Below are 15,989 nucleotides of genomic sequence, written 5' to 3'. Positions count from 1 at the left end.
CTGGCTTCTGTCTTGTTCTCTTGGGTCACTCATTCTAGGAGAAGTCAACTGCCATGCCATGAGGACACTCAGTGGCTCTGAACAGTTCCACATGGCAAGGAACAGAGGATTCCTGCCAACGGCCAGGCATTGTGCACGAGCCACCTTGGAAGCAGACTTTCCATCCCCACTCAAGCCTTCAGATGACTACAGTCCCAGCCAACATCTTGACTACAACCTCCTGAGAGACCCTGAGCCAGGACCACCCAGCTAAGCCACTCTTGGATTCTTCACCCACAGAGACTATGAGAGATAAATGCTTATTATTTTAAGCTGCTAAGTGTGGGAGTAATTTGTTACATAGCAACAGAGGACTAATACAGTAATCATGGACTAAGTTATAATACTTAACATGTCTGAGCTCTAGCTTCCTCATATATAAAACAAAGACAATAACAGCAGGTACATCATAACACTGTGATGCGGATTAAATGAGACCCTACATCTAAGGAGCCTAGCCTAGAGCCTGCACACAGTAAATGCTCAGGAAAATGTAAACAGCCCAGGCTACCCAGCAACAGTCCACATCAGCACCCACCCCTTTTCAACCCTGTGCATAGTGAGCCATTGGGCATTCAGGGATTAGGTCAGAGGGCTAGGGAGCCAAGCAAGGACACAGAGGCAAGGGTCTGCATGGGCAAGGGTGTTGCCCACCACTCCATCATTGGGAGCTGCCCTCCAGACAAGCGCCAGAAACTCAAGGACCCCCATGGCAGGGAGGGCTTTAGAAGCCTTTATGTTCAAATCTCCCCTACTCCTCCATCAAAGCAAATGTCCTTGACCACACCCTCTGTGCATGCTAATCCCACAACCTGGAACATTCTTCTTCCAGGACCATCCCGAATACCATCCAAAAGTATCCAGGTCTCACCATAACTCCTCATAGCTTGCTCAAAGCCTTTCAGATCTCCAAGGACAAGAATCATGTCCCTCAGGTACCTTCTTTTTTCAAGCTAAATACCCCCATCTCCTCATTAATAAGCACAGAGTTGGCAAACAGCATGATGGGAAAGCAGAAACCTGAGCCAGGGTGGAAAAATGACCAGCTAGGAAGTGGCTGATGTCTTCCAGGACAACCCCAGAAGTCCAAATCACCATATCTAGACCCAGCCAGGATCAATTCTCCAGTTGTGAAGGATCTGAACAGCCTAGGAATATATTCATAAACTATATTGCTTACACAATGGAAGCCTGGTAAGATGGCTGTTTCCACATCAAAAGAGGTAAAAGCCCACTGTGCAGTGCAGGAGTCAGGCTACACCCACATGCAACAGGGGCTGAGAGCTTGAGCTCTAGGGTCAGGGCTCAGACAGGCCTGGTTCAGGTACTGGCTACAGGGTCCATGGTTAATATTCTTCTTCTTACCTCTGTGGGCTGAATTAAGGGTAATCTTAGTAACTACGCAAGAAAAAATCTTTAGAAAATTAGGATTTCACAAAGCAAACTGCTATCAGTCTTACAATCACTACATAAGAAAATTAGAAATTAGAAAATTAGGATTTCACAAAGCAAATTGCTATCAGTCTTACAATCACTACATCCCTGGTTCTCATCCAACTGGGAACCACTAGGGTGCCCAGTCAAAAGCAGATTCCTGAGTCACACTCTAAACCAAAGCATTTAGAATCTCTAAGGCTGAAGCCTAGGCATTTGTAATTTTTTTAAAGAATTCCCAAGTGGATGCTGATACACAGCCAGGGTTGAAACACAGCCAGGGTTGAAAGGCACTAGTCTACAAGTTTCCTGATCTCCTGGGAGCATAGGTCACTCAAAGCACCCATCTTGCTCTCAGATGCTGGCCTCTGCATACTTAAAATTGTACTTTATTCATGCCCTTCCAACTCTGGGGTGGTCCAGCCACAACATGGCAGGCATCCCCAAGAGGAAAATTTTCAGTTTTCAGTCTGCTAATGATAATAACATCAGCAAAAAAGCTGGGGCAGCTCCCAGGGTGCTTCCTTTGACCACAGTTTTGACAATGAGGAGCAAACTCTTCCATTTTTAGCTAACATGTTATAGATCCAAAATGTTCAAGTCTGGGGTTTCTCCAGATACCTTAAAGCAACTAGTTCTGAATCCTCACTCTGCCTCAGAATTACCTGGGAAACTTTTACAAAATAGGGCTGATTAGGTTTCAGACCCCCATCAAGAGATTTAAGTTCAGATTCAATGGTCTGTGGGGGAGTGTTGGGGAGGGGACTCTGGGTACCCTCATGTTTCCAAGACTGTCCAGGTGATTCTGATGTGCAGCCACGATTAAGAACCACTGCTACAAACTACAGTCTTGAAAACAAAACATCTCCACTCTAACGTCTTGTCACAACTTGAACTAAGGTATGTGTTGATGAGGTACCTTCCAAACTGCAGCACCCTGGGGAAAAGTCTTGGTCTGGCCTTGGCTATGCCTCTGAAGAGGAAGAAGCCCCCACCCGCCTCCCTCCTTCCAGCAGCCTGGCAAGGATCCCAGTCTCCTGGGCACATGCAGGTTCAGGGCTCACGGCAGGTGGGCTGCCCTCCTTGATGTTCGGATGAAGAATAAAGCCCTAAATGTCTAAACTGCTCCAGATCAGAGCTAAGCAGAGAACATAATCAGAAACAGCTTCAGCTGAGAACTAAGGCAACCATCACACACCTATTCTACCAAAGGGCTTCAAGAGGCAGTGATTTGATGTTGTTTTTGATTAGAAATAATGGATCATACCACATTAGAACAAAACAGAAAAAGAATGGAAGTCAGCCAATTCAAAAAAAGCAAACAAAGCTCTGTTCCCCAACCCTAATGAACACACAGACACAAGCACACACACACACACACACACACACACACACACATAATAATACAATAATACAAATAACTGCCACGTCTTCACATAAATGCTGAACAAAGCTAGTGGTACTAGTTTCCTCCTAATTTTTAGTAGACTAGGTGCCAGCTCTCGGAAGGCTTGAACACTGTGACTTTGTGTTAAGATATGCTCTTTGTCAAGTCTTAACAGTTCTGTAAGAAGAAAGGCATTAAGTTAAGAGTATTCTGGAATTCACACCCTAGTTGCAGCACTTTTTGATCTATCTCCCCAACCACACTCCTCTCCTCTGAGGTCTGAACCTCACTCACAAGGCTGGGTCCCTCAGTGTTTGCCCATGTTGACCACATACTCTTGGCCTTAGGTGACTGGACCAGCATTGGACACATGACTATGCTGGCCTGGACTGAAATCTGCTGGTCCCAGTCTGGGACGGTGACTTAAAGATCATGTAAACGTGGGCCCTTTGGAAAGGCCAAATCAGGTCAAATCAGACAAGAAAGCAGGAGAAGGAGAGGTAAAAGCGGAGCAGGAAGTAGGGACTGCCTGTGTCCTGGTGGCTCTCTGGATGCCTGAACTCACCCCATGAATTCTGTAAAGTGTCCCTTTATCCTTGTAATAAATTCCTCTTCAGCCTATTCAGCTACTTTTTTTTTTTTTTTTGACAGAGTCTCGCTCTTTTGTCCAGGCTGGAGTGTAATGGCACAATCATGGCTCACTGCAACCTTCACCTCCTGGGTTCAAGCAATTCTCCTGCCTCAGCCTCCCTATTCAGCTACTTTGAAATGGATTTTTGTTTACCTGATCTCACACGCACACACACACACACCCTGGGTAAAATAACCAAAACCTTGTTATCAATTGCCAAACATTTCCAGGAATTTTTTTAAGACCAAAATCAACTTTTTACCCTTTATTGAATATGCTGTTTCTAAAAATGTACATATGCTTTTTTTTTTTTTGACACTCACTATTTTGCTCAGGCTGGTCTCAAACCCCTGATCTCAAGCGATCCTCCCACCTAGGGCTCCCAAAGTGCCGGGATTACAGGTGTGAGCCACCACACCTGACCCATATATGCTTTCAATGTAAATATGTACATGTTTGCTTCGGCAACTGGTTTCAAAAATAGAAACAAGGCAACCACCAGAATTTGGGATGAACAAAAAGAGAACTTTCCAGAAAAATGTTCCCTCACATCACTTCTTGAAAGCAAACATTTTCAGCAGGAGGAGCCTGGGAAAAGGAATGAGGGTGTTAAGACCTGACTCTCAGGCGTGGAGTCCTGTGGGTACCAACTGCTCCCAGCCCTGCCAGAGTAGGCCAGACGGGAGACATTCTCTGGAAAATCCAAATACTGGGCTCAAAAACATGAGCACCATCAAGAATAGAATGGGGTTTAAATGGATAACATGCATTTATAGAGCCTGCAAGAGAGAAACTGAGACACTCTAACAGTGGCTGGCTAAATCCTCGCTGCCCACCCACAGCATGAATAGAAGAGTAGAAAGACAAAGTACAGACCTCCGGCTGGATAGCTTTAAACACAGGTATATCCATTAATGTAATCTGGCTCTGCAACAAAAGAGAATCAATTTTAGAAAATACTGTACATCAAAGATAACTGTCATGTTACTTTATACAGAGTCATATACACTCATAAAAGTTATACTTTCCCCTTTGAGATAAAAAACAAGACCAAATAGAGTAAAAAATTGGATACATTTCTGAAATGCCTCTCCCATCCCTTCCCCCGCTTCATAAATTCTGATCCACACCCTTCTTTCTTGAATGTGAGATGAACTTTCAATTTAGGAATTGATAAAAGTTGTTTGGGGGGTGGGCCTGGGAGAAAAGGGAACAGTTTTATTTGAAAATTTTCATACTATTTGAATTTGTATTTCAAGCATGAACTACTTTTGTAATTTTTTAAAGTTGTAGAAACAATATTTAAAATTAGAATGCTAAACAGAAACACTATTACTATAAATTAAGTTCATTTTAAAGCTGTGGCTTATAGAAATTATATTTTTCTTCTGAAGTCATTGATACTGCCCCTAAATTATATGGTAGAGTGCTATTCAAGACGCACCCACAGACCAGCACGGGACAACAAACTGTTTATTCCACCAGCCCACAATGAGAGAAGTACAGAAGCTGAGAGCAAGCATTTGGAACTTGCATAGCAATTTTTTACATGACCATGACATTTCCATTATATACATTTTAAGTATCTGTCCTCAAATTATTGCAAATGGAAAAAACTAGTCCTTCACCACAGCCGGCTTAAGATGCAGCAATGTCATCAATAGAGAAGACACACATCAGGTTAAAAGGCTGTGCCCATCATAAGAACCTCATCTGGTGACAGTAACAGGAAGCATCATGCTGACCATTTTTCAGACCAAGGCATGAACTGAACTGACTTCACGTGATCCACCTACCTCCATGTCACATGGGATGCCAGATGTCAGTTAAGAGATGCCTCTGTGACACGCCAGGGAGAGGAGAGCTGAAGACCTTTGGATGCCTTTAATGTGAGAAGACACTCTGTCCATTGAACACAGGCCATCCAGGATGACATGATACAGGGAACAAATGGGCTCTGGAGTCTACAGGGCTTGGGTGTGTGTCTGGACACTGTCACTTAACGGCAATGTTCTCTTTGACACACAATCTCTCTCAGTCAGGTACCACATCTAGAAAATGATGACAATAATCCCTATTTTATGGGATCTTGGTGAAAATTCAAGACAAGAGGTAGCGTTCCTGGCACCTGACAGATGCTCAATAAACACATAAGACAGTGTGTTTATGTGTGTGTATCTGAGTGTGTGTGTGTGTGTGTGAGTATATGGTGTGTGTGACTGTGAATGTGAGTGTAAGCGTATAAGTGTGTGTATGTGTGAGGGTGTACGTGTGTGCGTGTATATGAAAGTGTGTGTGTGTGTGTGTGAGAATGAGTGTTGAGTGTAAGGGGGTGTGTGTGTGTCAAAATGGAAGCCACACAGATGGGCTCATGTACTGGCATGTGAACTTACGGTTCCTGACCAATACATAAGCTAGCAAATAAGGGACCATTAATTTGGTTGAATATTCATGCACTGAGGTTGCTCTAAAGAACATGTTTAAAATCCACTGAGCCAGTAAAAACCCTTGTATTAAGAATATATTAGAGAAAAATGGCAACACACTCAAAGGTGGTCCAAGGTCACTGGGTTCCTGAGAAGCACGGGATACAGGCCAAAGCAGACCATCCTCAGGCAGAGTGGAGAGGAAAACATGCAGCTGGCTTCAGTGGAGAGCCTCTTTGTACTCTCCCAGGAGCGGAGCTAGTGTTCTTCATGGAAACGGGTGAGATGCTGCCACCAGCCTGGCTGAGAGGTGGGAGAGAGGACCAGGAATAAGGAAGCACTGGAGCGGAATCTGAGCTCTTCCGCCTCCAGTTTCCACCCAACACCTCTTGATGTCAAGGAGACTCTTGACATCAGCATAATGTATCTGGCCCTCATAATCTGGGTGTTGAGTGGCCAGTAAGCCCTGAAGGCCTATAGGTCTATGTTTGGCCTAGAGCTCCATGGCTCAGAACTATGTCCTGAGCAGTGCAAACAGACTGGCATTTCTTCTGCCAGATCCATCAAGATGGTTAGCCAAGTGCTTCTCATATTTGGATTAAGTCTGCCATCCTGGGGAACAGAAAGGCCTTGTAAAGACAGGAGATTTGACCTGAAAGCTCAGAGGACCTTGGAAATCTCCCCTGCACTTCAAGTTAACACCCTATCCGGGAGAACCGGCAGGATGTTTGCAATGTCATTTAGGAAAAGAACCAAACGTCTGCTAATGTGAAAATGAGAAAACTTCCTTTCCATCCTGCCACCAGTTCTAGGGTTTGCTACTGAATTTCCAGATGATTTATTAAAGCAGTGACCTTACATTTCACACTTTTTGGATGGTCCAAGTTTCAAATATTCTGCTCTCTGCTCAGACCATAAGTCAGAAAATGTGTTCAGGTGTTTTATTCAAAACAAACAACAACAGAGGTCACCAGACTTAGACTAGCTAGTCCGAAATACATAATGAGGTTTCAGAAGAATCTCTATTTCTATCCTTTCAATTCTGACCAAAAAAGATACAGTATCTAGAGCAAGGATATTTTGATACAAGATACTTACAAAGATCATCAGATTATCGATTTCATGCCATTTTACTAAAAAGCCAAACATATGTTAGAGGTCGCTGATGAGTAATCCTTCCCTGGAAGTTTGAACCCTCAAGGCCACTCAGTTTTACCAAAAAGGGGGGTGGGAAGTATGGGTAGGGGTTGGGGTAAGAGGTGAGGTCAGGTCCTGTCACACTTCATAGCCAGCTCTCGGGACCATCTCAGCGCCCTGTCCCTCCCTCAGGAGAGGTACCTTGGTTTCCTGGAGAGAAAAGGCATTTTCTAGGGGTATGTTACAGCCTCAACAGAAACATGAGACAAGGAGCCTCCCACTCTCGTTTCCAAGCAGCAAATCCGGCCAGTAGTGGGGCTGAGCGAGAACACTCGTAAGTCTCTTAATGGCCTATCCTTATTTTGAGAAATAAAGCATTAACATAGGATGTCCAGTCAAGCTAGTCACCTGGCAATGGCTTCCTTAAGCCTTCTCCCATCTCCTCCTTCCTCCTAGTCCAGGGCCCTCTAAAAACCCAGGCTTTTAAGGGAAATGCTACTTGGTTAGCCAAAAGGAAAAAAAAAAGTTTTTTGCATATGTTAAATGTAGTATTTCTCCTCTCTAACAGTGGCTGACTAAATCCTCTCTTCCCAGCCTCAACCTTAAATGTAAGGGTCTTCCAGACCCCAAATAAACAAACAAAAAAAGCTGTTGGCTTTACCCCACTCCACCAAGGCATGGCCAGGAGGGCGCACAGAACAGAGTAATCAGCTCCAAAGATCTATTCCTGCTTTGACTCACAGAACCACAGAAAGCCCGTGTCCGGCAATTTAGAAAAGAGTCAGGGGATGGGCCTAGGAACTGTTCTGTTCCTTTTGAAAATTAATCTAGCAGTAACTTATTTAAAGCTTTTTTAACTTTTCATTTTTAAAAAATGTCAAACTAGGCTGGGCACAGTGGTTCATGCCTGTAATCATAGCACTTTGGGAGGCTGAAGCTGGCGGATCACTTGAGGTCAGGAGTTCGAGACCACCCTGGCCAACATGGTGAAACCCTGTCTGTAATATGACATACAAAAATTAGCCGGGTGTGGTGGTGCATGTCTGTAATCCCAGCTACTCAGGAGGCTGAGGCAAGAGAATTGCTTGAACCCGAGAGGAGTGGGTTGCAGTGAGCCGAAATCGCACCACTGCACTCCAGCCTGGGAGTAAGTGAGATTGTCTCAAAACAAAACAGAAAGTCAAATCTACAGAAAAGTCACAAAGACAAATACTATATGACTCCACTTACATGAGGTAACTAGAAGAGTCAAAATCATGGAGTCAGAAAGTAGAGTAGTGGTTGCTGGGGGTTGGGAGGAGAGGGAATGGGGAGTTGTTTAATGGATACAGAGTTTCCATTTTGCAAGACGAAAGCAGTTCTGGAGATTGGTTACATGACACTGTGAATGTACTTAACACTGCTGAATTGTACACTGAAAAATGTTAAGATAGTAAATTTTATATTACGTATATTTTGGCACAATCAAAACGAATAAAAGAGCCACCCCAGAAGTTCTTCAATGTGACTTGTCCCAATCACAAGTCTCTCTCCCACCAAAAGTAACCATTATCCTGACTTTCTTCAAGTTTTTTAAATAATTTAATCACTCAAGTATATACACCTATACATCACAGGGTAGTCCTGTCCACTTTTTTAAAAATTTGATAAGTGCTATCTACCTACCTACCTACCTACCTACCTATTTTAGAGAGAGTGTCTTACCTGTTGTCCAGGCTTGAATGCAGTGGTGTGATCATACCTAGTGAGCTAACCTCAAAATTCTGGGTTCAAGTGATCCCTCCTGCCTCAGCCTCCTGAGAAGCTACAACTACAGGTATAAGCCACCATGCCCAGCTAACTTTTTAATTTTTTGTAGAGATGGATTCTAGCTCTGTTGCCCAGGCTGATCTCTAACTCCTGGCCTCAAACAATCCTCCCACCACAACCTCCCAAAGTGCTGGGATTACAGATGTAAGCCACCATGCTCAACCTGATACATACTTTTTGTTTGTTTTGAGATGGAGTCTCGCTCTGTCGCCCAGGTTGGAGTGCAGTGGCGCAATCTCGGCTCACTGCAACCTCCACCTCCTGGGTTCAAGCGATTCTCCTGCCTCAGCCTCCTGAGTAGCTGGGACTACACGTGTGCGCCACCATGCCTGGCTAATTTTTGTATTTTTAGTAGAGACAGGGTTTCACCATATTGGCCAGGCTGGTCTCAAACTCCTGACCTTGTGATCCGCCCACCTCAGCCTCCCAAAGTGTTGGGATTACAGGTGTGAGCCACTGCCCCAGCCGATATGTACTTTTAAAATCTCTTTTAATCTACAAATATTCTCTCCATCCCTTTATATTCCTTGTAATACATCTGCTGAAGAATCCAAGCCATAAGTTCTCCACACTTATGGAACAGGTCAATGTGTTCTTCCATTCTTGGTATGTCTGCAAATCAGCAGCTGGACCCAGGGACTTCATCAGACACAGGTGCATCCCTTTGGCAAGACCGCAGGTGGCGGCACACTGCTTCATCAGGAGGCACACAATGGCTCTCCTTTTGTAATGTTAGTGGCTATTGATGTTCACTGCTTAGATATTTTCATTCACTGGGGTTACAAAATGATGATATTCCAATTCTTTCATTTCTTTTCCTTTTCTTAACTGAATAATTTAATAGACACTTTCCCTCATCTACTGTTTGGTTATCCAGTGTAGTTTGTTCAAAAGTAAAAGGTAGGACAAATGCTTGATTCTTTCCTCATATTTACCAGTTTTTAAGATTATAAACTGCCCCATTATCATCAAAAGGTGACCCATTGCTTGATGAGTTTCAATCATTTGCAATTATTATCCTTTTGAAGCTCAAATTGTGCCATGATGGGGCAATGGGAGCTTCTTCTACCTAGCTCTTGAGTCCGTTTGCCACAAACCCTCCTATTCCTTGACAGCTTCCTCACTGGGTACTGGGAAGATGTACCAGGCTCATCTTGAACATGTCCTTTCCCAGGCTTGGAATCAACCAGTTCTCCGGAAGCCATGGGTTCTTTTAGTAAGAAATGCTATTTCAAGACCACAATGCAGAATTCATACTAATATTTCCAATTCAAATTCAGGGCATTTTTAAAAACTTACTTAACCTCTTCTGTATTACATCTGTATCTCCTTTCTTCTATTTTGAAAATCTTGGTCTCAAGGACATAGAGTATACTAGCATTCCAGAATCCCGTAAGTTTTCATTTACTTTATCCTATAGTCATACTATATCTACCATCTGGGCATACATTCATTACAAACTATACCCTCTACCTTTAACCCTCATTCAGTCTTAATTCCACAAGTAATTGCATGTTTACTGCTCTCTGTCTTTATAGTGATGGTTCTCTCATTATGTTCATTATCTAAGATTCATTCTCTCATAGATTCCTCAGGAAGGGCTCAGGGGAATAAAATTCTGAGGTCTTTGCATGTTCACAACAGTTTGTTTGTGTCCTTTATACTTTAAAGTCAGTCTTGCTGGATATATTATAAATTCTTTGGCTCACTTTTTCTTTCTTTCCTTAATTATGTAGTTCCATTTCCTTTTGGAAAAAACATGTTTCTGTCAAAAAAGACTGATGGTAATCTAATCATTTCCTGTATATGTCATTTGCTGTTTTTGCCTAAATGCCCAAATAATTTTTTTTCCTTTAAAACCCAGTAGTTTGTAAAAAAAAAAATATGTCTTTAGTATTGACCATTTAGGGTTGACATTCTCGGCTTCATGGTGTGTTCTTTCAATATGCGGTTTCAAATCTTTTTTTTTTTTAAATATCATGAACATTTTCCTAAATTTTAGTTTTAATTATTTGTGAAGTTCCCTTGCCTTTTTGTTCCCTGCTTTCAGGCATTCCTATTGTCTGTATGTTGGATGTTCCTTGGCTATCATGAATATTTGTCACTTTTTCCCAAAGTCTTATTCTTTCTTCATTTATTTTCATGTGAAAAAGTTTCCTCCCTTAGGCATTTTCTGTTATGTTTATGTGTTCCTGTGTTCCTTCTAGTTCAATCTTCATTTCCAAAAGAATTCTTTTATTTTTAAGTCTTCCCTAAGTTCTGTCATCTCATTTCTGAGATTTTTGTATTTCTGATTTATGTTCTTCATGTGTGATCTTAACATCTCTTAGCTCATTTAAAAATAAACAGTTACAGGTTTTGTCTGTTTTTGTGGCATGCTTTCATTGTCTATAGGGATTCTTGTCTCTTTTTTTGTACAATAACTCTGAATGAGATTTGACAGCAATAATTTCCTGTTGCTTATGTTTATGCAAAATTAGTTTTCCTGAGCTTTTACAGGGCAATATGGTTCAGAGTACCTTTTCTAACTTCACACAGCTGTTTTAGGTTGCTTTCATGTAGTGTTCAACACCATAGCCACTATTTCTTGAGATTTCTCTCTCTCACTCACACACATACACACACACACACACTCTTAGATCATCTTTTGCCACAACTATCTCTATCTTTTCTGATCATTTTGACTCCACTCCCTACTGAATTTCTTAGGTACGCAGCATCATTCTAGAAGGGACCCCCTAGTTGCCTGGTTTCAAGAGGTCATAATGGCTATTCCACAGATCCCTTCTACTCACCCATTATTTGAATAGTCAAAATCCCTGCCAATTTCAGCTGCTATTCCCACCCTGACCCACTGAACTTTCTAGCAAATACCTATTGACAACTTTGGGGTTCTCTTATTCTCAAGTCTATCAAATACCCCAGTGCTTATTCTGCTTTCTCCTCTACAGATGCTGATACCCTGAAGGTCTTGTGGATGTTGGTGGTATATATTCAACCACTTGTATTTTGGGGGTGATGACGATAACTTGTCACCTAGGTTTACTACAATTTTGTTCATGGGTTTCAGGGTTTGCTATCTAGTTGTTCTGAATGTTTACAGTGGGGCGGTGGGGGAATACGGATTAAGAGAGAATTTAAAAATATGCTACTGCCGCCACCATCTTCCCAGAATCACTCAAATAATTCTTTCACTGGGTTTTCATGTCTGGGTTTTTTCTTTCACTAGACAGGAAACTAAAATGCCAGTTGGTCTGGTTCAATTCTAACACCTAGGCACTCCAGTGCTTTCCCAGAGGCCAAAGACTCCAGAGACCTGGTTTCACATGTAAGCTGAAGACATACTAGCTCCAGCAGGGACAGCCAAAGTTTTAGCACTGCATTCTCAAAAAGTATTCACCATCCTTCCCTACAGTCTTCCCAGCCTCAGAAAGGCAGCCTGAAGCAAGCCAAGCAATACCCTACGGCTGAGGCTAGAAAACCAGGCCCTGCGTCTCACCAAGGAGTCCTGTTAGGCAATGTTTTTCTATGATGCAGTCTAACTCTCTGCCATTCCACAGGGTAAACAGCTAGAAAGGGATTTTTAAGCCTCGTTATTGCTTCTTTCATGAAGCTAAAAAACATGACTCTTAAAAGTACAAGTAAACATACATAAATAGAACATAGAAGCTAGGCCACTGGCCTGCGAGATCCATGACGTCCTCTAAAGGAGAGGCAATACAGCTTTGTGGCTAAGAGTGCAGGCTCTAGTGTTATACTGTCCAATATGGTAGCCACTAGCCACATGTGGCTACTGAGCATGTGAAATGTTGCTAGCACCATAAAGTGTAAAATACACATTGGAGCCAGGTACAGTGGCACAAGCCTATAGTCTGAGCTATTTAGGAGGCTGAGGCAGGAAAAGGGCTTGAGTCCAGGAGTTCAAGGCACTGCACTGTGGTGTAATTGCACCTGTGAATAGCCACTGCACTCTAGCCTGGGCAACATAGTGAGACCTTGTCTCTTACATACACACACATCGGATTTTGAAGACTTAGCTTGTAAAGAAAAAGAATATAAAGTATTTCAATAATTTTATGTTGCTTATATTTTAAAATGATAATATTTTAGACATACAGGGTTAAATAAAACATATTATTACAAGTAATTTTACCTCTTTCATTTTTTAATGTAGTTACTAGAAATTTTTTTTTTCTTTTTTGAGACGGAGTTTCGCTCTTTTTGCCCAGGCTGGAGTGCAATGGCGCAATCTCGGCTCACCGCAACCTCTGCCTCCTGGGTTCAAGTGATTCTCCTGCCTCAGCCTCCTGAGTAGCTGGGATTACAGGCATGCACCACCACGTCCAGTTAATTTTGTATTTTTAGTAGAGACCTGGTTTCTCTATGTCGATCAAACTGGTCTCGAACTCCCGACCTCAGGTGATCCACCCGCCTCAGCCTCCCAAAGTGCTGGGATTATAGGCATGAGCCACCGCGCCCGGACGATTACTAGAAAATTTTAAATTGCATATGTAGCTTACATTGTATTTCTATTGGAAATCACTGGTCTACAGTGTCAGACAGCCCTGGTTTTAAATCCCAGCTGTGCCATGTACTATCTGTGTGAAGAGACGACTTTCTTCTCTAAGTGTTGACTCGCTTATCAGTAAATTGGGAATAATAATTATACCTAATTTATAAAGCTGTTATGAAAAGTAAACTAGATAAAGCATGTAAAACATTTAACACAAGACCTAGACATAATCAGTGTTCAAAAATAGGAGTTGCTCTTATAATTACTTCCTAGCATTACATGGGTAATTAGGAGATGAGAGTTTCAGACCTGGCTCTGCCAATACCTGGCTATATAATCCATGTAGAAAATTAATCTCTTGGATCCTTACTTTATCAGAAAATTGGGAGCAAATGATATGACTCATTGAGTTGTTGTAAGAATTGAACTCTTGGTCAGGTGCGGTGGCTCATGCCTGTAATCCCAACCAGCACTATGGGAGGCCGAGGCGAGCAGATCATGAGATCAGGAGATTGAGACCATCCTGGCCAACATGGTGAAACCCTGTCTCTACTAAAAATGCAAAAATTAGCTGGGCATGGTGGTATGCGCCTATAATCCCAGCTACTCGGGAGGCTGAGACAGGAGAATTACTTGAACCTGGGAGGCGGAAGTTTCAGTGAGCCAAGATCCTGCCACTGCACTCCAGCCTGGCGACAGAGCGAGACTCCGTCTCAAAAAAAAAAAAAAAAAAAGAATTGAACTCTTTCAGGCAATACGTATGTTTTGAGCACCTACTATGAGCCAGGTATATTTTGGGCACTGGGAAAAAATGCAGTGAACAAGTCAGATAAGTTCCCGTCCTTAGAAAGTTTATATTCCAGTGGAAGAGATATGCAATTTAAATTTATTATTATATAGGCTGGGAGTGGTGACTCACACCTGCAATCCCAGCACTTTGGGAGGCTGAGGTGGAAGGATCACTTGAGTCCAAGAATTGGAGACCAGCCACAGCAACACAGTGAGATCTCATCTCTACTAAAAATCAAAAAAATTAGCAGGGCATGGTGGTATGCACCTGTAGCACCAGCACTTTGGGAGGCTGAGGCAGGAGGATCACTTGAGCCAGGGAGATTGAGGCTTTTATAAGCTGTGACTGTGCCACTGCACTTCAGCCTAAGTGATGGAATGAGATGCTGTCTCAAAAAAAAAAATTATTCTATAATGTAATGTTGGGTAGTAATAAGAGTTATGAAGAAAAACAGAGCAGAGTAAGGAGAAAGATAATGATGGAAAGATGCTACTTTAGCCCAGTGAAAGTCCTAAGGACAGACATTTGAACACAGAGTGAGCAGACAACTAAGGAAGAGCCATGAAGACTGAAAAAAGAAAAGGACAGAGGATGCAGGTGAGCCTGGGGAAGAAAGAGACAGTGGGAGAGCACAGAGGTGGGGGCAGAAGAGGAGGCTTAGCCAGACCATAGAGAGTACTGGAGGCCTCAGGAGGAACTCTGGGTCTCATTCTAGTAGGAGGGAGCCACTAGAGAGTTTGAAGGTTTTAAAATGATCCCTCAGACACACTGAAGGAGATGATGCATGTGCCAGGCTCAGTATGGCCTGGCACAAAGTAAACACGGAAGAAGCCAATGATGGCAGAGCAATGACATGGGGCCCAGCTAGTTCCCTTGGCACCTAGGAGGACAAGAAACCTCTTTTACCAAAGAGGGTAGAGGAGACGTGGGTATGGGTTAGAAACACTTTCAGGGTTCTGGAGAGAAGTTCAACGCTTGGACAACACTCTCAATCAGGTTTGAGGTCACCCCAGAATCAATATTCTCCCTCTACTGTCAAAGTTCAAAAAGAGGAAACCAAGTCATGGCAAAACAAGGAGCTAACACTGCTCCACCACAAGGGACAGTCCCTTAGTTAGACCGGGAGCAACACATTGGTTGAAGATATATCTTTTTTTTTAATTTATATTTTTTTAAATTGCCCAAATAATATTGTTTATCATTGTAGAAAATGGTTGTTATAAAAATATAGAAAGTATACATAAACAAAAAGAAAAATTAAATTCCAATTACCTGGAATCTATAACCAAATACTACAGTAAATAATATGTTTGGCTATATAGATCCAGACATTTATGAATATGTAAACAAAAAATCTAGACCTCATGCAAATGCAAATACATGTCATATGTGTGTTGTACATGCTTTTTTTTTTTTTTTTTTTTTTGAGACAGGGTTTTCCTCTGTCACCCAGGCTGGAATACAGTTGCATGATCACAGCTCACTGCAGCTTCAACTTCCCAGGCTGAAGCAATCCTCTCACCTGTCTCCTGAGTAGCTGGGACTGCAAGTGTGTGCCACCACACCTGGCTAATTTTTTTATTTCCATTTTTTGTAGATGCAGTCTCCCTATGCTGCCCAGGCTGATCTCGAACTCCTGGGCTCAAGCCATCCTCCTACCTCAGCCTCCCACAGCACTGGGATTATAGGCGTGAGCCACCTTGCCCAGTCTGTACATGAATTTTTTAAATTGCACGTTCTCCACAAACGTTGCTTTAGTCTGCTCCTTTCACATTTATATATATAGCGTACAGCCTTCCAGGGTAGTTAATTTCAAGACAGCA

The 15,989-nt window shown here is 42.5% G+C and overlaps 1 protein-coding gene across 56 annotated transcripts in view; it reads right to left on the bottom strand.

Annotated features, from left to right (window-relative positions):
* The window catches only part of RALGPS1 (Ral GEF with PH domain and SH3 binding motif 1), a 308,385-nt gene that overhangs the window by 241,054 nt on the left and 51,342 nt on the right, over window positions 1-15,989 (bottom strand). For 47 of the 56 annotated variants that reach the window (XM_011519233.2, XM_047424120.1, NM_001322321.2 and 44 more), the window contains one exon: window positions 4,368-4,418. The exons of the other annotated variants lie outside the window; for them this stretch is intronic. In XM_011519233.2, coding sequence (XP_011517535.1) covers window positions 4,368-4,418 — 51 coding nt within the window. The remainder of the gene's footprint in view (window positions 1-4,367; window positions 4,419-15,989) is intronic. 56 annotated transcript variants of the gene reach the window in all.

The sequence above is a fragment of the Homo sapiens genome, chromosome 9 (genome assembly GCF_000001405.40).
Source record: "Homo sapiens chromosome 9, GRCh38.p14 Primary Assembly".
Taxonomy (NCBI): domain Eukaryota; kingdom Metazoa; phylum Chordata; class Mammalia; order Primates; family Hominidae; genus Homo; species Homo sapiens.
This window is presented reverse-complemented; position numbering and strand designations above follow the sequence as displayed.